The following is a 22,643-nucleotide window of genomic DNA, read 5'->3' as shown; positions in this document are numbered from 1 at the left end:
ATTCAGGAGCAGGTTGTTCAGTTTCCATGTAGTTGAGTGGTTTTGAGTGAGATTCTTAATCCTGAGTTCTAGTTTGATTGCACTGTGGTCTGAGAGATAGTTTGTTATAATTTCTGTTCTTTTACATTTGCTGAGGAGTGCTTTACTTCCAACTATGTGGTCAATTTTGGAATAGGTGTGGTGTGGTGCTGAAAAAAATGTATATTCTGTTGATTTGGGGTGGAGAGTTCTGTAGATGTCTATTAGGTCCGCTTGGTGCAGAGCTGAGTTCAATTCCTGGGTATCCTTGTTAACTGTCTGTCTCGTTGATCTGTCTAATGTTGACAGTGGGGTGTTAAAGTCTCCCATTATTAATGTGTGGGAGTCTAAGTCTGTTTGTAGGTCACTCAGGACTTGCTTTATGAATCTGGGTGCTCCTGTATTGGGTGCATGTATATTTAGGAGAGTTAGCTCTTCTTGTTGAATTGATCCCTTTACCATTATGTAATGGCCTTCTTTGTCTCTTTTGATCTTTGTTGGTTTAAAGTCTGTTTTATCAGAGACTAGGATTGCAACCCCTGCCTTCTTTTGTTTTCCATTTGCTTGGTAGATCTTCCTCCATCCTTTTATTCTGAGCCTATATGTGTCTCTGCATGTGAGATGGGTTTCCTGAATACAGCACAACGATGGGTCTTGACTCTTTATCCAACTTGCCAGTCTGTGTCTTTTAATTGGAGAATTTAGTCCATTTACATTTAAAGTTAATATTGTTATGTGTGAATTTGATCCTGTCATTATGATGTTAGCTGGTGATTTTGCTCATTAGTTGATGCAGTTTCTTCCTAGTCTCGATGGTCTTTACATTTTGGCATGATTTTGCAGTGGCTGGTACCAGTTGTTCCTTTCCATGTTTAGCGCTTCCTTCAGGAGCTCTTTTAGGGCAGGCCTGGTGGTGACAAAATCTCTCAGCATTTGCTTGTCTGTAAAGTATTTTATTTCTCCTTCACTTATGAAGCTTCGTTTGGCTGGATATGAAATTCTGGGTTGAAAATTCTTTTCTTTAAGAATGTTGAATATTGGCCCCCACTCTCTTCTGGCTTGTAGAGTTTCTGCCAAGAGATAAGCTGTTAGTCTGATGGGCTTCCTTTTGAGGGTAACCCAACCTTTCTCTCTGGCTGCCCTTAACATTTGTTCCTTCATTTCAACTTTGGTGAATCTGACAATTATGTGTCTTGGAGTTGCTCTTCTCGAGGAGTATCTTTGTGGCTTTCTCTGTATTTCCTGTATCTGAACGTTGGCCTGCCTTGCTAGATTGGGGAAGTTCTCCTGGATAATATCCTGCAGAGTGTTTTCCAACTTGGTTCCATTCTCCCCATCACTTTCAGGTACACCAATCAGACGTAGATTTGGTCTTTTCACATAGTCCCATATTTCTTGGAGGCTTTGCTCATTTCTTTTTATTCTTTTTTCTCTAAACTTCCCTTCTCGCTTCATTTCATTCATTTCATCTTCCATTGCTGATACCCTTTCTTCCAGTTGATCGCATCGTCTCCTGAGGCTTCTGCATTCTTCACGTAGTTCTCGAGCCTTGGTTTTCAGCTCCATCAGCTCCTTTAAGCACTTCTCTGTATTGTTTATTCTAGTTATACATTCTTCTAAATTTTTTTCAAAGTTTTCAACTTCTTTGCCTTTGGTTTGAATGTCCTCCCGTAGCTCAGAGTAATTTGATCGTCTGAAGCCTTCTTCTCTCAGCTCGTCAAAGTCATTCTCCATCCAGCTTTGTTCCGTTGCTGGTGAGGAACTGCGTTCCTTTGGAGGAGGAGAGGCGCTCTGCGTTTTAGAGTTTCCAGTTTTTCTGTTTTGTTTTTTCCCCATCTTTGTGGTTTTATCTACTTTTGGTCTTTGCTGATGGTGATGTACAGATGGGTTTTTGGTGTGGATGTCCTTTCTGTTTGTTAGTTTTCCTTCTAACAGACAGGACCCTCAGCTGCAGGTCTGTTGGAATACCCTGCCGTGTGAGGTGTCAGTGTGCTCCTGCTGGGGGGTGCCTCCCAGATAGGCTGCTCGGGGGTCAGGGGTCAGGGGTCAGGGACCCACTTGAGGAGGCAGTCTGCCTGTTCTCAGATCTCCAGCTGCGTGCTGGGAGAACCACTGCTCTCTTCAAAGCTGTCAGACAGGGACATGTAAGTCTGCAGAGGTTACTGCTGTCTTTTTGTTTGTCTGTGCCTTGCCCCCAGAGGTGGAGCCTATAGAGGCAGGCAGGCCTCCTTGAGCTGTGGTGGGCTCCACCCAGTTTGAGCTTCCTGGCTGCTTTGTTTACCTAAGCAAGCCTGGGCAATGGCGGGCGCCCCTCCCCCAGCCTCGCTGCCGCCTTGCAGTTTGATCTCAGACTGCTGTGCTAGCAATCAGCGAGACTCCGTGGGCGTAGGACCCTCCGAGCCAGGTGCAGGATATAATCTCGTGGTGCGCCGTTTTTTAAGCTGGTCCAAAAAGCGCAATATTCGGGTGGGAGTGACCCGATTTTCCAGGTGCGTCCGTCACCTCTTTCTTTGACTCGGAAAGGGAACTCCCTGACCCCTTGCACTTCCCAAGTGAGGCAGTGCCTCGCCCTGCTTTGGCTCACGCACGGTGCGTGCACCCACTGACTTGCGCCCACTGTCTGGCACTCCCTAGGGAGATGAACCCGGTACCTCAGATGGAAATGCAGAAATCACCCGTCTTCTGCGTCGCTCACGCTGGGAGCTGTAGACCGGAGCTGTTCCTATTTGGCCATCTTGGCTCCTCCCGGGAATGATTCTTAAGAAAAACCAATGGATGGATTTATTTCAGTTTTAATTTGTCTCTTTTTTTTTGTTGTCAAATCTAAATTTTTTTCCCTTTTTTTCTTTCCTTTTTTTCCTCTTCTCTTTCTCCTTTCTCTTATGCTCTTTCAACACATTCTTTTCAACAGGTGGGGAGTTCACTTAGATATTCATCTCTGGGATTTATTTCTATGAAATGGTACTGAAAGAGTCTGGTTTTTCTTTTTCATATAGAATTTTTTGTGCAAATCCTCTTTATATATGATAATTCAATATAAAAGACAGTTGACATTTTTATTCCTTTCTGCATATCCATTTGCCTGGCCTGCTGATGTGTATAGAGTTTCTAACAGAAACATTCTGATACCTGGCCAGTTAGGACCTCTGGCTTCTGAGTTTCTCTAATCAGTCAATATTTTGATGTTCTTAGGAGCTCTGATGGTGGAACAGTGCTGAGCCAGTCTCTCATGAACAAAGTCTTGGTACGCAACTAAAAAATACTGTGCAAGGGACAAATACATTTTAAAATTGCCATAATTCTCTTTCTCTAACAAATTGACTTTTGCTGTTGCCAGGTTCCCATCCAGTCTTTGCTAAATATGCGCCTATCATTGCAATCGGGTTGTAGTCAACATGTAGATACATTTTTACATTCTGATTTTTCAACTTAACGTTCCATCTGTTATAAATACTTATTCTTACTGCCACATATTTAATTTTTCTAACAAGTATTGAACACCTAGTATGTGTCAAGCTACTGTGTTAGAAAAGGGAATGAGACAGTATGGTGGCCAGACAGCTGGAATCAATAGACCAGTCTTCAATTCTTGGCTATGCCATTTACTTACTTTGGGCTTTGAGCAAGTTACTTATTTGAACCTCAGTTTTCTCATCTGTTAAATTGAGAATAACAATAACATACATTATTAGAATTATAAAATTTTATTGCGCTATGGAGATAAAATGCAAAACGCGTAACATAGTGCTTGGCATATGATAATCATTAAGTAGTTCTGGTGAATAAGATGCTATTACTGGACTTGATGACATATCCGTGACCTTGAAGTTTAATAAAGGGTGATGTATATACATACACATCAATACATACACACAAGAAGAAATGACAGGAGCTGTTATAAATATCTGTACAGGGTTCATTGGAGGCCCCGAGTAAAGCTTGTTAGATTTCACCTGGAAATAGACGTGTAAAAAATCAAGAAAATATTTACAAATAGGCAACAATTAGGCTCAATTTTGAAGGCAAACTGGCACTTCTTGCACAGATAAGGCCCCACTAATTCTGAAGATGTATGTGCAAAGCCAAGCTAATATTTTTAGCTGAGTTTTAAAGACAAGAAGGATTTTACCAAGAGGAGATGAAGAAAGACTATTCTAGATAGAAGCTGCAAGACAAATGAAGACATTGAATTATGGATGTGTATGCAGGAAATGGGTGTGTTTATGATTTGTTTAGTGCAGTAGGAACAGAGGTCTCCAGGTGGGGCCACAGCAAAAAATGAGGTTGGAGAGGAAGGTAGGGAAGAGCCCACAGAGGCATTAGGAGCCAGAACGCTCTCATGCAGGTAGGAGGAATACCATGTTCATAAAACCCCTCTGGTGGTAGGGTGAAGCCTAGACTTGGGAGGAGAAAGCTGAAGACAAGAAACAAGTCCATTGCAGTGGTCCGCACCAGAGAGGGTAGTGCCTGAGCTAACTCTAGATAATATTCTACCATGTTAACGTTCCATATAACCTAAACATCTTGTTCAGGGACACTTAACTTTAAACTTTTGCTGTTCTGAATATTGTCATGGTTTGCATCTTTATATGTATAAAATATTTCAGATATTTTCTTTAAGATAAAAAGCATAAACATCTGCATGACTCTTGATAATTATAGGTAAATTTGTGTTAAATGGGATTTCCAAATTATATTTTCACCAGGGTACATTTGTGTGCAGGGTTTCATGACACCCTTGGAAACATTGGGTGCTGATATTCCTTTCTTTGTTGTCTTAGAGAGCATAAAACTGTTGTTTTAATTTGCCTTTCCTTGATATCTAGAAACATAATATGTTTTCCCCATTTGTCTTCTAATTATGTGTCCTCGCTTGTGAATTGCATGTCCTGTCCTTTGCCCATTTGATAAGCAATTGTGTTAAATCCCTTTTTGGCTGGCCTCTCTTCTGGCAACTCTCCACATACACATTTCCCCACAGGCTCTCTTTCTAATTTCTTTTCTCTTTGATCTATTGAAACCAAATCCTTTTTCTAACTCAATATTACAATAGACATAACAATTCTAATTGCTCTATTGATTCATGGCTACCATAGTCATGGGCACATTAGGAAGAACAGGGCTTTGCTATCAGGGACCAAGGTTTAAAAGCCTGACTTCATGCTATCTAGATGTGTGATTTGGTGCCTGTGTCTTAAGCGTGCTTAACCAGTTTGCTTTTTTTTAAATGAGAACATTAATATACGTCACTATCAATTAGAAACTGTACTTGACCATTAGTACAGAGATTCAAATATAGTGGCTTAAAAAATGTAGTAGGCTATGCTTTCATGTTAAATAGTTTTGGAGGTGAAGAGGCCAGGACTGATAGGGCAGTTCCATGAGGTCTTCCCCTGCCTTCAGCATGTTGGTGGGATTAGGATCGGTTTGGGGGAGAATGACAGAATTGTCCAGACTTATAAACAGCCTTATTCCTTAAGGACCAGGAAAGCAACTGGATAGTGTTGGATTGTGGCAAGGCTGAACGTCTTCACTTACTCATCAAATAAGTTTTTCTAAGTACATGTATACAGAGCTCCAAGATTTCCTGTAATGGAAAATATACATGCTAAGTCAAACAAGAAGACCCAGGTTATGAGAGTCAATTCCTAAACCATAGAAAGCTATGATCTCTTTGTTTAGAATGACCCAGGCTTAGAAGCTCTGGGTTCCAAGGTGACTCTGTAGCCATCGACCTAGTTGTTGAAGTATCCTTACAGTAAACTTTCATTCCAGAAAACACATCCCTGTAAATGTAGGCTCATAAATAGGCTGTCAGGGTTATTCAGAAGAAGAGACCATATCCTTATCATCAGATGCAGTCAGTTATGGATGTCTGCATTATGGTCTGTTGGTTAGAAGATCAACTTCCTGTTTGCGTAGTCTCATTATTTATATAGATGCTATGGAGCATCACAAGACCATGTCATGGACAGAGGGTCTCACAGACCCCCTGCTAGCTGAGAACACAGAATCCTCTTGTTCTCTTGATATGGCTTATTATTATCACGAGTAGAATCATCATAATTCTACTTCTGACAGAATGTATTCATTACAAATGAAATTTTTGTTCAGATCTCATAGTTCATGCCTGAAAGCAAAGATATTAGAATTAATGAGCATTTTTGCTGATGAGAAGAAAAATCACTGAAGGGTGATTGGACTTTAGCCTTTTAATGGGTCTAATATTCTTCTTTCATTAGGGCTGACAAGGGTATATCCAGCTCCCTTATGCTGTGTGCCACAGATTAGGAATGTACTTTATATAACATGAAGCCAGCTTTTCTTTCAAAGTAATATAGCCTAGTAATCATGAGCACATGCAAACAGAGCTCCATTGAAGGGGGAATCTGGGCAGAGGTAGGGGGACAATGTGAACCTTGTTAGCAGGTGGTAGAGGGCCTTGATGGGCTTATTAAATGGCAGTGTAATTTGATTCTACTTTTCCTTTCACACAGTAAGCAAGCAATAAGGATTTACAGAGCAGGCCTACTCAGACAATCGAGTAGTAACTCTGCAAGAACTGTCGAGTCCTGAAGACAACACAGGAATATTTTTTATTTATTTTTATTTTTATTTTTTGAGATGGAGTCTTGCTCCTTTGCCCAGGCTGGAGTGCAGTGGTGCTATCTTGGCTCACTGCAAGCTCCACCTCCTAGGTTCACGCCATTTTCCTGCCTCAGCCTCCTGAGTAGCTGGGACTACAGGCACCCACGACCACACCCGGCTAATTTTTTGTATTTTTAGTAGAGACGGAGTTTCACTGTGTTAGCCAGGATGGTCTCAATCTCCTGACCTCGTGATCCACCTGCCTTGGCCTCCCAAAGTGCTGGAATTACAGGCGTGAGCCACCATACCCAGCCAGGAATCTTGTTGATAGTGCAGGGAGTGTGAACTCTGAGACATTGTACTCAGGGTTCAAATGGATGTGGATGTGTACTGGAACGTACTATAACAAAGGACTTAAAGATTGACTCAAGGAAACATAATTAGAGGCCTTCAGGGCCTGTGAGCTTAAGCAATGTTATTAATGGGGTTTGGGAGAATTTTCAGACTGAGAACAGGCATTTATTTTTGATATCCTAAGGCCATGAAATTATAGAAACCAGAGAGGAGAACTGAGGTATCAGTTCTAGTGGCTGTGTCACCCTTGCATGGACTTTCCATTGAGGTGAACGGGATGTGGGGCCATGAGAGAATAGTTCAGGGTGTGGTGCCTGTTGGTTTAGCTAGCATATTTTTATAAGACAGCTGCAGACTCCATTGGTACCCTGATTGGCCTCTCTGAACTGTTTTTACTCCAGACACTTCTGACACCAAATGTGTGTGTGGTTTTTATCTGCACTAACCAATTCTCCAACTTTCTGGACACCAACTGGGTGTCCCACAATTCAATTCAATTCTAGACTACGCAGAGTTCAGGCAGAGCCCACGGGCTCAGTCCCATGAGACTGCTCCCACTTCACATGCCAGTTGCAAGTCTCAGATTGCCATCTGTACTTCTGACCAATCATGAATTAGGAGTTCCCATAGCACCCTTCTAATTTGCCAAAATAGCTCACAGAACTCAGGGAAACACTTCAGTTATGGAGATACCAATGAACAGGCAAATGAAGAGATACTTAGGGTGAAGGCTGGAAGGGTCCTGGGTGTAAGAGCTTCTGTCAGGTGAAGTTGGGATGTACTGCACTCCCAACGCGTGGATGTGTTCATCAATCTGGAAGCTCTCTTCACCCCATTGTTTAGGGATTTTTGTGAAGGTTTATTACATAGACATGATTGGTTAAATTATTGGCCATTGGTGATTGAACTCAATTTCCAGTCCCTCTCCCCTTCCCAAAAGCTGGGGTGTAGAGCAGGAAGTTCTAAGATTCTAGTCAAGACTTGGTTTTTTGGGGGTCCAATTCCCATCCTGAAGCTATATAGGTGCCCCCAGTCACCAATCATCCTACTGGTATACAAAAGATACTCATCATTCTGAAGATTCCAAGGGTTTTAGAATCCAGGAGCACACACAATTTTTTTTTAAATCATATCTCAGGCTTCTTGTCCAAGGGACCAGAGAAAGTGAGGCTGAAGAGGGGAGTCACATGGGAAAGACATTATCTGCATTGGGGTTAGGCTATAGGGCTGGGACTAAATTGTCACGCTTTTCCAAATACTAGCATGAACTTGAGAAGAGCTGGTGACCAACCTTTCCTTTCTTTCCCCTTCATTTTTCTTCCTTCTCTCTCTTTTTCTTTCTTTTCCTACATCTTTTTCCTCTATCTCCAGCTCCCTCATGTCTTCACTCTCTTTCACAATCAATATCTAGCAACTCCTACGTGCCAAGCATTTTCTCCAGTGATGTGATGGATATATAGGTCACCATGAACTCCATATCAAGGAGCTCACAATATTGGAAGAAATGGCATATAAGCAACTGTACATAATACATTGTGGGAAGGAATATTTAGAGATTTGTAACAGTACTGTGAGAACAAAGAGGAGAGAGCAATTAATTATGCCAGGATGTTCAGGTAAGTTACTGTCATAACGGACGTAACATTTTCAGCTTGATTGTGAAAGACGAGAAGGATATTCCCAAGTTGAGATAAAGGAAAGATATTCCAGGCAGAGGCTACAACACAAGTAAAGACACTGAGTTATGGATATTTACTCAGGAAATAGAGAACTGAGCGGCATGGTTATAGCATAAGGTACTAACTGGGAGCAATCATAATAGTCAGCATTAATCGAGCATTTATTATATGCCAAGAATTTGTTAAGCCATTTATGCATATTAATTTATTTAATCTTAAAAACAATCCTATAAGGTTGTTACTGAATATTATCTCCATTTTACAGAGGAAGACATAGAGGCTTACAGAGGTGAAGGATCTTCCCTAAGGTTGTAACTTTCTATAGCCTGGAGCCAGGATTAGAAAGCAAACAGACTGACTATGATTGACTAGAATGACAAAGAGTATAGGACTTAATATCTCAGCCCAAGGCTCATTCTTAATCTCTGTCCCTCCCAGAATATTCTGATGTGAGGTGTATAACATTCATGTGGGTACAGAAAGAATATTCTTAAATTTTCTATTCCTTTTTTGTTTTATCTTTTAAAATGATTATTTGTAATGTGTTTCATAATGTACCTGCCATGTTAATGCATTAGAACCTGTAAGTAATTTATAAATAATTAGGCATACCTATAACGGAGGTCTGAAACAATTTTTCCTGGAAGAACTGCAAATCAAACAGATTTAAGGACGATGTTCTAGGCCAGGAATTCTCAAGTGTGGTTTCCTGACCAGCAGCATCAGTTTCTAACCTGGAAACTGGTTAGAAATGCAAAATTTCAGGCCCCACAGCAGATGTACTGAATCAGATACTCTGGGGTTGGGGCCAAGCAGTTTGTGTTTTAATGAATCACCCAGGTGAGACCTAACAGTTTATGCAGTGCAACTTTTACGGTGAAAAGTGAAATGGTCAAATTTGAGTTCTAGAAAGATAATTCTAGTCGGATTGGAAAAAAATGAGATACTAGAAGTTGGGAGATTCTTTAAAAGGCCAGTCAAATGGTCAGTGCAAGAGCTGAGCAGAGTCTGAGTCAAGAGAAGTGGATTTCAGAAATATATGGGGGTGAGGGAGAGGAGGTTAAATCCAGATGTGACACCAAAGGGCCTCACGTGCAGAATTGCTGTGGCCATATGTACCTAGGGGTCAGTGTGAGTCAGCATTTATGATGGCAGGAACCTTTCATGAATGATCCCACTTAATTTGAAGTATGTGAACGATATTCAAGATTAGTAGGCAGCTGGAAATTTAGATTGTTAAGCTCAGAAGAGATGGGTTTGGAAATATATATTAGAGAGATAGTGGCACACATGTAACAATAGAAATATTGGGCATGATTAAAACGAGGAAGTTTTACCTTTTCTATAATGAAGTATGGAGCAGAAACGTCTGTGAAGAATGAGGGGGCCATGAGTGGGAAGAGGGTCTGAAGACACAGGCTGATATTCAGAGCAACTACAGGAATTGGGAAAGGGAAGCAAAATGGGAGAAAACTAATGTATCTGCCAGCTGACCTCTGAGACCACTTGGACACATGGCAGGTGCTCAACATGTACTGACTGGCAGGAAAGTCAGGTGAGCTAGAGCTGTACAATGGGATGAACATCAAGGATTTTTCACTTTTTTGGTGTCATGGACCCCCTTGGTTGTCCAAGCAGCCTATGAATACTTTCTCAGAATAATGTTTTTAAACATTTAAACTAAAACACATAGCATTAAAAAGCAAAACAATTATAGTAAAATATGGTTATCAACATATGAAAAGCAAATTTGTTTTATAGTAGGATATATATATGTGTATGTACACATAAATATGTTTTTTATTAATGTACTATATAGCAGCTGCATCAGTGGGATTAATAAACCTAATTTTAGCATTGTGATGAGCATAAATAATAATTTGAGATGTTTGCAACAGCTGTTATACGAACACATTGTTGATTTCTAGTGGTGGCAAAAATCACAGGTACCGTTAATAGTTTTTGGGTTTTTTGTCTGTATTTATAATTGAAATTCTAAATTCAATTAAACATTAAAAAATAAATAATTGTATTCCCATGAAAGTACATGGACCCCTGAATTTTATCCATGGACCCCTTGAGAGTACATAAACTGCAAGCTAAGAACTTCTATGCCAAATGAATAGACAGAAGTCCATGCATTTGCTCTTGTATATACATAGTCACCAACTTGTTTGCAGATAGGAATTAATCTTCTAGACCAATTTTCATATGTCTTGTTCAATGGAAATTTTTGTTTGAAGGACTGAGATATTTTAGATTTAAGGTAACTTGGGTGGATTTCACTAACCCTTCTGGAGTCATTGAGGAGAAATCACCTTGTCTCTCTATAAAAACATTAACCTTGTTAGCTTATCTTCAGCCAGAATGGTGGTTTGTATGTACTGGCAACAGTTCCCCAGCTTTTTAACTCTGGTTCAGGTGTTTAAGTTAGAAGTGACTTAATTTTGTAATGCTTACTACCTTTAGATGATTTTATAAGAAAGATTGTGGCAATTGCAAAGTGTTGTTTTGCCAATTTTGTTAAAATTGGAAGAAAACTCAGGGGTCTGATTCAAATCTCACATTTTGTCAGTGAGGAAACTGAGACCCAGAAGGAGGAAGAGACCTCATTCTGGTTATTTACTGCTGCATCACAAATTTTCCCAAATACTTAGTGGCTTACATAAAAAAGTTACTTTAATATTCTCACAATTTTATGGGGGTGAGATTCAGGCAGGGCCTACCTGGGCAATTCTACTGTACATGGCATTGGTTGAGGTCACTTTTAATATTTGACAGGTGGGTGGGCTGGTTCAGAGAGAGGGTTCAAGAGAGCTTCGTACCGTGTCTGACCCTTGATGTGGGCAGCTGGAGGGCTGAGCTATGCTGAAACTGTCGACTGGAGTCCTCCTGCATAGTGGCTCACGCTCCTGGAAAATGTTTCCAGAGGCCCAGGTGAAAGCATCTTAAAAGTCCCAGAATGTCAATTCCATTGCGTTTCATTGGTCATACAAGTTCACAAGGCCAACTCCGATTAGAGGGGAGGAGTATATTGGGCTCCTCCTTTCCAGGGAAGCAGTGCCACAGGAATTGTGACCATCTTTCACCCATCACAGTCCACCTTTTGGCCACAAACTTTATATTTCTTCCACACACACATACATTCACTGCCTTTCAAGACTCAAAATTCTAATCCTATTCTAGCATTAAGCTTAAACTAAGGCCCCCAGTTTCTGTTAATCTAAGCATGTAAGCTAAAGAGGCTCCCCAGGTATGATTCTTTGAGTATGGTTCCTCTTGGTCTGAAGATATATAAAATAAAGAGACATGTTATCTTCCTCCTACACAGCCAAAATACAATGGTGATGCATGGATGGGACAAACATAATAGACATTCCCACTTAAAAAGGTGATAGTAGGAGACACTTAGCAGTCACAGGTCCAGGCCAATTCAGAAATCCAGCCAGTGCTGAAATACAATTGAGCATATGTTGTCACTTCTTAGTTAGGCCTCTTCTTCTGCTATGGGAACGATTCTCCATGGTTTCTATCTCTGCTCTTTGGGCTCTTGGTTCTACCCTGTGGGTCATCTTTTCATTCACAAAAGAAATAGCCAATGTTTGCGGCCGAGTAGCTTTCTCAGTAGGCTTCCTGCCCTAAGTAAGTTGTGTGTATCCCAAGAGTTGTTCTGGGTTGGCATGCTTCTCTGATGCTCTTGATATGCTGGTAACACACGTAGGCATACTATATAAATATAGCACTTTTTCTGCTTATTTGTCCTCACTGAGGGACAAGGTGCTCAATTATGACTTATCTTTAATGCACTAAAGTCAAGCTCTGCCAAACCTGTCTTTCTGATGAACAAGCAAGTCTCCTGCATCCACATCTTCCTAACTATAACCAGTAAGGACCTATATTCCTAGTCTCTAGAAATAGAGTTTCTAATTGAGGGGATAACAAGGAATCGACATGAATGGAGTCCAGTATTAAGTCCTACTTTTTAAAAAATTTTTAATTTTTGTGGGTACATAGTAGGTGTATATATTTATGGCACATATGAGATGTTTTGATATAGGCATGCAGTGTGTAATAATCACATCATGGAGAACAGGACATTCATTCCCCTCAAGCATTTATCCTTTGTGTTACAATCCAATTATATATTTTAGTTATTTTAAAATGTACAATTAAGTTATTGATTATAGTCATTCTGTTGTGCTGTCAAATAGCAGGTCTTATTCTTTGTAACATTTCTTTGTACCCTTTAATCATGCTCCTTTTCCCCATCCCCTACTGCCACACTTCCCAGCCTCTGGTAACCATCCTTCTACTCTGTATGTCCATGAATCCAACTGTTTCTATTTTTAGATCCCAAAAATGAGGACATGTGACATTTGTCTTTCTGTGTCTGGCTTATTTCACTTAACATAATAATCTCCACTTCCATCCATGTTGTTGCAAATGACAGTATCTCATTCTTTTTATGGCTGAATAATACTCATTGTGTATAAATACCAAATTTTCTTTATCAATTCATCTGTTGATGGATATTTAGGTTGCTTCCAAATTTTGGCTGTTGTGAACAGTGCCTCAACAAACACGGAATATCTCTTTGATATACTGATTTCCTTTCTTTTGGGTATATACCCAGCAGTGGGATTCCTGGATCATATGGCAGCTCTATGTATTAGTCAGGGTTCTCTAGAGGAACAGAACTAATAGGGGGACAGAACTAACGTATTTATATAAAGGGGAGTTTATTAAGTATTAACTCACACAATCACAAGGTCCCACAATAGGCCGTCTGTAAGCCGAGAGGCAAGGAAAGCCAGACTGAGTCTAAAACTGAAGAACTTGGAGTCTGATGTTCAAGGGCAGGAAGGGTCCAACGTGGGAGAAAGATGTAGGCTGGGAGGCTAGGCCAGTTTATTTTTTTCACGTTTTTCTGCCTGCTTTATATTCTAGCCATGCTGGCAGCTGATTAGATTGTGCCCACCCAGATTAAGGATGGGTCTGCCTTTCCCAGCCCACTGACTCCTATGTTAATTTCCTTTGGCAACACTTTCACAGACACACCCAGGATCAATACGTTGCATCCTTCAATCAAGTTGACACTTAGTATTAACCATCACACTCTACTTTTAGTTTTTTTGAGGTACCTCCAAACTGTTCTCCATAGTGGTTGTACTAATTCACATTCCCATCCACAGCATATGAGGGTTTGCTTTTCTCCATCTTGTCCCCAGCATTTGTTACTGCCTGTCTTTTGGATATAAGCCATTTTAACTGGGTGAGATGACACTATATCCCATTGTAGTTTTGATTTGCATTTCTCTGATGATCAGTGATACTGAGCACCTTTTAATGTGCCTGTTTGCCATTTGTATGTCTTCTTTTGAAAAATGTTTATTCAAATCTTTTGCCCATTTTTTGATCAATTACTAGATTTTTTTCCTGTACAGTTGTTTGAGCTTCTTATATATTCTGTTTAATAATGCCTTGTCAGATGGGTAGTTTGAAAATATTTTCTCCCATTCTGTGGGTTGTCTTTTGACTTTATCAATTGATTACTTTCCCTTGCTGTGCAGGACCTTTTAAACTTAATGTTAATTTTGTTCATTTTTGCTTTGGTTGCCTGTGCTTGTGGGGTATTAGTTAAGAAATTTTTGCTGTGACCAATATCATGGGGATTTTCCCCAAAGTTCTCTTGCAGTAGTTTCAGAGTTTGAGGTCTTAGATTTAAATATTTAATCTATTTTGATTTGATTTTTGTACGTGGCAAGAGATAGGGGTCTAGTTTCATTTTTCTGCATGTGGATATCCAGTTTTCCCAGCACCATTTATTGAAGAGAATGTCTTTTTCCCAATATATGCTCTTGGCACTTTTGCCAAAAATAAGTTCACTGTAGGTGTGCAAATTTGTCTCTGGGTTCTCTATTCTATTCCACTGATCTATGTGTGTCTGTTTTTATGTCAGTACCATCCTGTTTTGGTTACTATTGCTTTGCAGTATAATTTGAAGTCAGGTAATGTGATTCGTCCAGTTTTGTTCTTTTTGCTTAGGATAGCTTTGGCTATCCTGGGTCTTTTGTGAATTCATATAAGTTTTAGGATTGTTTCTATTTCTGTGAAGAATGTCATTGGTACTTTGATAGGGATTGTATTGAACCTGTAGACGGCTACTTTGGGTAGTACAGACATTTTAACAATACTGATTCTTCCAATCCATGAACATGGAATATTTTTTTGTGTCCTCTTCAATTTCTTTTTCATCAGTGTCTTACAGTTTTTATTACAGAGATTGTTCACTTCTTTGGTTAATTTCTAGGTATTTAATTTTATGTGTGGCTATTGTAAATGGGATTACTTTTTTGATTTCTTTTTCAGATTTTTCCCTGCTGGCATATAGAAATGCTACTGATTTTTGTATGTTGATTTTGTATCCTGCAACTTTACTGGATTTATCAGTTCTAAAAGTTTATCTGTGGAGTCTTCATATTTTTCCAAATATGAGATCATATCATGTGCAAACAGGATAATTTGACTTCTTCCTTTCAAATTTGGATGCCTTTTTTTTTCTCTTGTTTGATTGCTCTAGCTAGAATTTCTAGTATTATGTTGAATAACAGTGGTGAAAAAAATGGGCATCCTTGTCATTTTTCAGATCTCAGTGGAAAGGATTTCAGTTTTTCCCCATTCAGTATGATACTAGGTGTAGATATGTCATATATGGCTTTTATTATGTTGAGGTATATTCCTCCTATACCTAGTCTCAGAGTCATTCGAAAGACCCTCATCATAGTACCTTGGATATTATTGCTGGTTATTCAGGGCCCAAGGGCTCTTTAGTTAGCAGGTGATTAATGCTGCCAGGACTGGGTCCTTCCCTTCAAGGCAGCGGGTTCCCTTCTGGCCCGTGGTGTGTCTAGAAATGTCCAGGAGCTAGAGCCAGGAATGGGGGTCTCAACACTCTGACCAGTGCCCTACCCTGCTGTGGCTGAGCTGGTATCCAAGACACAAGACAAACTCCTCCCCACTCTTTCCTCTGCTCTTCTCAAGCAGAAAGAAGGGCTCTCTTTTGGAGCAGTGAGCTTTGCTCCCTGGGGCTAGGGGAGGGGTGATGCCAGCACTCCTTTAGCTGTCCCAGCGGGTATCTTCAGCAGGTTGCATTCCCCTGCCCCCCCCCCACCCCCCCCACAGTCTACTGGCTCTGGGCTCAGTTCAACAGTAGAACTCCTCTAGAAGTTACAGATCCTGTGGCCTAAACTACATTTCAAGTTTATTTAGAGCCCCTGAGTACTTTAGACCCCAGTGGCAAGGTTTGCCAGAACTCAAGTTCTGACCTCTGGGATCCAGGATTCCCTTCTGGCTAGGGCTGATTTAAATGTTCCCTCCATGGGCAGGAGTCAGCTGAATTTGGTCCAGTTTTTCTTTCTGCTATAACGGGACAGCACTGAGTTAAATGCCTCACCATCGCTGTGTTCTCCCTCCCCCAGTGCACAGAGATGCTCTCTGCACCAGGCAGCGGCTACCCGGGGTCGGGGAGGGGTGGTGTTTGCAATTCAAGACTGCTTTTCCTACCTCTTGAGTAACTCTTTCAGGAATACAAAGTTGCTAGAACCAGGTACTGTGAGTGCTCACCTGATTTTTGGTTCTTAAGAGCGTGTTTTTAAAAAAATATATGTAGATAGTTGTTAAACTGGTGTCTGTCAGGCCTCTGAGCCCAAGTAAGCCATCATATCCCCTGTGACCTGCATTTACACATCCAGATGGCCGGTTCCTGCCTTAACTGTTGGCATTCCACCACAAAATAAATGAAAATGGCCCGTTCCTGACTTAACTGATGGCATTGTCTTGTGAAATTCCTTCTCCTGGCTCATGCTGGCTTAAAAGCTCCCCTACTGAGCACCTTGTGACCCCCCCTCCTGCCTGCCAGAGAACAACCCCCCTTTTTCCTTTACCTACCCAAATCCTATCAAATGGCCCCACCCCTATCTCCCTTTGCTGACTCTTTTTGGACTCAGCCTGCCTGCACCCAGGTGATTAAAAGCTTTTATTGCTCACACAAAGCCTGTTTGGTGGTCTCTTCACAGGGACGCGTGTGAAAGTGTCTTTGTAAGGGAGGATGATGGGTGGAGGCTTCTCTTCAGCTATCTTGCTCTGCTTTCTTAATTCCTATTCTGACCTTGTACTGAGATTTATAGAACTCTTAAGCCTTTCCCTATTCAATTGACCAAGTCTATAACCTTGCTCTCAGCATTTGCATTGGGTCTCACTTTGGTTCATTTTGCCTCTGTCCATTTTTATGTAATCGAGGTCCATCTTGCTCACATTCCATCAGATGAAACAAGATTATTTTAAAATAGTGATAAAAGCACATGGAAAAATATTTCAGTGGGAAGGATTAATGTGAATTCTGGGGAAAAATCTGTTTGTTTCTTTGCAAATAACACAGTGAGCAGAGGAAAAATGTATTAGAAGTATAAAAAAAGGACACAGGACATTATCTTAAGCAAAATGGACATGAAAAACAAACTACAAAGCAAATACTGTGCACAATTATTGACCACAAAGGAGAGAGGCTGAGGTTTGGAAAACAAATATTTTTCAACGCAGACATATACAGAGCCAGAAGGCATTTTAATGTTTTGTGTTTTCATATCATCTATGCCAAGAGAATTTATGATCAGAACATTTCTTCATGATTTTTGGAATTAATAATACAAAAAAGGAGCTTGACATATTAAATGAGGATTCTGTTTTCTACAATGGATTCAGCAATAGACACCCCATAATGTCTCAACCAGCAGTAAGGAAATAGAGGGTCAGCAGGCTCTACATTTAGGTTTCTAGCTCTTTCTAAGGAACCAACATATAACATCCTATGGGTCTGAATAAGCATATCCATATATCCCCATTTAAGGGTTCAAGTTCCACAAACTGATGCACAAGCCATTTATAATAATTCTAGCTCTTCCTCAAAGTAGACTAATTTTTTTCCTTGGGGAAATGATTTTCTGAGGCCATAACTAGACTATCATATTGAAGGAAAAAGACTGTATACATACTAGACTGGTAATACAAAGAGAGTGTCTGCAGTTTTGGGTTTTGACCCAAACATACAGAAAATAGCTTCAACTGACAAGATTACTTCAATGTTTACTTAGAATGTTGAGCTTGGACTTACAAGTGTGTAAGATTGTTCCATAAAGTCACAGAATGCTAGAAGGCCTCTCACTACACTGGTGACAACATGGGATTCAGGGAGGTCAAGAGACTGCTCCAAAGTCGCAGAGCCAGACAGTGTTAGAGCTGAAGCAAAATCCATTCTCCTCATTCCCCAATTTGCATTCTTAAATTTGGACCCCCCATATGCATACAAAACAGAGTTTCTGTATTCTCTGTTTTAAATTCTGATGTGACTCTTGAATCCTTAAAAAAAAACAACAACAAACTTTGCTTTTTATTTATATGGCCTCGCTTTTCACTACTGGTCATCTATTCATTTGTTCATTCAATCAGCAAATATTTGAGTGGCTACTCTGTGGTGGGCATATTCTATACCCTGGGTGATAAAGCATGTATGGCCCTTATATTTCCACAGGAGGAGATAGACACCAAAGAAAGAAGTAAATGATTTAGTGCAGAGTAGATTAGCTGGTGGCAAGTGCTAAGGAGAACTGCAAAACAAGGGAAAGAAACAAAGAGTGCCACAGGAGTAACTATCCCACATAGAATGGTGAGAAGAATGACTTCTCTAATATATGGTGACACTGGAACAAAGATGAGGGAAGTAAGAAGCCAGGCAGTTAGGCTTCCCTGAGCACACCGTCTGATGTGGTTGGCTGTGTCCCTGCCCAAATCTCATCTTGAATTGTAGTTCCCGTAATCCCCATGTATTGTGGTAGGAACCTGCTGGGAAGTAATTGCATCATGGGGGTGGTTACCTCCATGCTGTTCTTGTGATAGTGAGTGAGTTCTCATGAGATCTGATAGTTTTATCGGGGGGTTTTTTCCCATGTTCAATCTGCACTTCTCCTTGCTGCCACCGTGTGAAGAAGGACATATTGGCTTTCCCTTTCACCATGATTGTAAGTTCCATGAGGCCTCCCTAGCCATGCGGAACTGTGAGTCAATTAAAGTTCTTTCCTTTATAAATTACCCAGTCTCAGGTATGTCCTAATAGCAGAGGGAGAATGGACTAATACACCACTCATGCAATTGCACAGGACCCCACACTTGGTTTAATGCTCTGCTGTTGCCATCTTGTGATTCTTACCAATTTGTAGTGAAAAGCATTTTTCATTTTACACTGAGCATGAAACATTATGTAGCTGGTCCTGGGCCAGGAATGTGTTATCCAGGGAAAAGCATTCCAGGCGGAAGACACTAGTAAGAGCATAAGGCCTGAAATGAACAAGAAAGAGGAAGGGGACCAGTCAACTGGAGTGGGCAGGCAAGAGAACAGAGTGATGGGAGAGGACGTGGCAGGGGGCGTTGAGATTGGGCCCTTGGGAGGACTGTGGCTTTCACTCCGAGCGAGATGGCAAAGCCATTGACTAGAGGGGTGACACAATTTGATTTTCATTTAAAAATAATTATTGTAGGTTTGTGCTGACTCATTATCACAAGAGTTCAATGTGAGATTTACCTATTTCCCAAAATAAGCTAATAGCAATTTTGCCATAATTAGCTACACAACTTAGAAAAAAGACTTTTTAACATTAAAAAGAGTTTACTTAAAAATATTAAGCAAATGTATTAAAAACTTTGTGATAGTGGCATATTATCCACTCTCTGTGCTTATACAGACTAAACCTTTTTTCTTTAAAAGTATTCCTTTATTAGTTTCAATATTTAGAACCACATAGATAAAATGCTTAACCACAAATATTCCTGTTCACAGAAATATTGTTTTTTAAAATCTAGTTTTACTAGAAAAAGCACACATGTATATCCTCGAGAATGTTGAATCTTCTGCTATACTTCAATTTTCACTTTTGAGAGAGAGAGGGGGAAAAATCATGCTTCATTATTAAATAACACCACTATTTCATGAAAGAAGACGTTTCTGCCAAATGTCCAAAGGAAGGAATCTCAATTACGTTGCTGGTTAGGGCATTTCTTTTTGAAAAAATTTAAAAAATATATAAGTTTTTGAAATAAAATCCTAGTACTATCCAGTGTTATATATATGGAATTTTAAAAAAGAAATTTGATAGAATGAAAAGCAAGTTTGAAGTTGCTAAAGAATATTCTAGAGAAAAATAGGAATGCACCGAGTACTTAACATATAAGAGTTTTTGTGTTTGTAGTTACAGAAATACCTTTGTAATGTGGGGTCCAAGTAAGTTCATCAAAGTTGATGGGAGGCTATTAGAAGCAGAAAATGTTTCTTTAGTGATGTTCTATGCAAGTATAATCCTTCCAGTACTTTGCAAGTACTTTTGAATCTTTTATTTAATGTTATCCTCATTATTCCTGAGATGGGTAAAGCAGGTTTTATTTATAAAGTGTAGATAAGAGCTGGGTGTGGTGGCTCATGCCTGCATTCCCAGCTACTTCAGAGGCTGAGGCAGGAGGATCTCTTGATCTCAGGTCAAGGATGCAGTGAGTTATGATCACACTATTGCACTCCAGCATGGGCAACAGAGAGAAACCCTATCTTTAAATAAATAAATAAATAAAAATAAAATGTAGGTTAAGGAATGGAAGTCTAGTGAATTTAAATCATTAGCTGAATTTAAATCATTAGCTGAAGGTTAAAGGCAAAACAAGAATCTAGACATCTTGACTCTCAGTTTGATGTTCTTTCCATGTCTTCTTATTTGCTTCCTTCATGTTAAAGAGATTCAGTAGCCACTGGATGTGCTAGTGAAACAGACCAAACCATTCCTGCTGAACATGGTCAGTTGAGGTGTCACTAGGAGTAAAAAAAAGATAGGGGCAAAAAACAAAAACACAAAAATGCATACTGTTAAAAATGATTATAAATTAGAATTTTTCACAATTGAAAACTTCTGTTTTGCAAAAAAGTACTGTTAAGAAAATGAAAAGACAAGCCACAGACTGAAAGAAAACATTGGCAAAATATTAAGGACTTGTATTTGGAATATATAAACTCAACTCAAAACTCAATAATAAGAAAACAACTAATCCAATTAACTATGAAAAAATATTTGAACAGGCACTTCATCAAAAAATATGGATGGCCAATAAGCCCATGAAAGTTTACTCAGCTTAATTAGTCATAAAAAATGCAGATTAAAATCACAATGGGATACACACCAAATAAATAGGCTAAAATAAAAACAGCAGACAATGCCAAGTGCTGATGAGAATGTAGAGCAACTGGAATGCTCATGGATTGCAATAGGATGAAAATAAAACATGTTCAGCCATTTTGGAAAGCAATTTGTCAGTTTTATTTGTCCACAAGAGATAAAAACTTGTACATGAATGTATATAGCAACTTTATCCATGATTGGTCTGACCTGAAGATGATGCAAATGTACTTAAAGTAAAATAAATAGACAAATTGTGGTATATACATGCAAAGGAATACTATTTACCAATATTTAGCAAAATAAAGGAACACCCTGTATGAAACTCAAATGCATTCTGCTAATTGAAAGAGGCTGACTCAAAAGGCTGTATACTGCATAATTTCATTTCTGTGATATTCTAGAAAAGGCCAAAACAGATCAGTAGTTGATAGGGGCTGAAGATGGGGAGAGGTTGACTATAAAGGAGTATGGGAATATGTTTGAAGGTAATGAAACTGTTCTACATCTTGATTCTGGAAGCTGGTACATTATTTATGATCTTATTTTCAAACTCATAGAAATGCACTTCAAAAATGGTTGATGTTATATGTAAATTGTGCTTCATTTTTTAAAAATAATACAGGTACATAAAATCTAGTTGAAACTAAAAGGCATGATACCTAATTGATATAAAATTTCCAGACAATAAGAAAAACATAAATTGTGCAGAGCATCTCATATTTGATAGTAGAATTAAATTAGTAATTGAAATTTCCAAGCACTATTTCTGAAAGTAAAAATTTGAAGACGGTTGGGATAGAGCCCATATTCAATTTTAAAAGCTATATATTAAAGCTAATCATAGCAATAAAATAGAGTCATAAGTGGTCTAAATAGCTATTATCATTTTTAACATGAAATAATGTACTGAGAAAGCCTTTACTTACAAATTTATTTAGCTATATAGAAATAATCTGAATAATCAAGCCTTCAGAATGTAAACCTCAAAATTTTTACTCAGCAAAAGCAAATAAAGGATTAAAAAAATTACCTTAGGGCCACTCTTCAATTGGTCAAAAATTATTGATATTCTCTGAACCCTTGGGAATCATGTCAACTCTAGGCCTTAGTATTGCATGTGAATATTGCTTATTTACCTTAAGTATTTTATAATCCAGTATTTAATAAGGTGCCAACATGGCAGTTTTGCCTTGCAGACTCCATCAGTCTTTTTCATATTTCAACTGTAGGTAGCTTTCATGATTCAGTTGTCCAAATGGAAAAACCTTGTTGTTTTGTGTAATTTACTTCCCTGTCTTGGTCTTTGATGCAGTCTCTGTTCTCTGGTTGAAAATACAAAGAACCTCAGGTTTAATAAATAAAGTTATGCCTTCCAGAAGGTAAAAAAGCAGTGTTTTGTATTCAGGCAATCAGATTTTAAAAATAAAAATGAGAGAATCAAAGAAGTCAAAATGAAAGCAACCTTGAAGTACCTTTTTTTCAAATCTACTAAAATAATAACAGCAAACAAACAACACTTGTTTTCAGTCCCGCTGATGATATATAAAAATAGTGCACCCATTTTTGCTTAAATGGCCTTATAAATTCCTAAAATTAGTTGGGATAACAAAATGGAAGTACATTGTGAGATCTTACAAAAGGTACATTTTGATTAAATAATTCTCCATTTGAGAATTTATCCAAAGGAAATAATTTGATGGGAACAAAATGATGCCTGACCCATATATCATCCCAG

The 22,643-nt window shown here is 39.2% G+C and overlaps 2 annotated features.

Annotated features, from left to right (window-relative positions):
- Positions 1,866 to 2,484: an enhancer, noted in NCBI's record as "H3K27ac-H3K4me1 hESC enhancer chr2:23207307-23207925 (GRCh37/hg19 assembly coordinates)". NCBI's record gives its function as "activates a minimal SCP1, AML or CMV promoter by ChIP-STARR-seq in naive H9 embryonic stem cells {active_cell/tissue: H9 hESC(naive)}" and the evidence as "EXISTENCE:reporter gene assay evidence [ECO:0000049][PMID:30033119]".
- Positions 15,991 to 16,921: an enhancer, noted in NCBI's record as "OCT4-NANOG-H3K27ac hESC enhancer chr2:23192870-23193800 (GRCh37/hg19 assembly coordinates)". NCBI's record gives its function as "activates a minimal SCP1, AML or CMV promoter by ChIP-STARR-seq in naive and primed H9 embryonic stem cells {active_cell/tissue: H9 hESC(naive and primed)}" and the evidence as "EXISTENCE:reporter gene assay evidence [ECO:0000049][PMID:30033119]".

This window comes from Homo sapiens, chromosome 2, assembly GCF_000001405.40.
Source record: "Homo sapiens chromosome 2, GRCh38.p14 Primary Assembly".
Lineage (NCBI taxonomy): Eukaryota > Metazoa > Chordata > Mammalia > Primates > Hominidae > Homo > Homo sapiens.
This window is presented reverse-complemented; position numbering and strand designations above follow the sequence as displayed.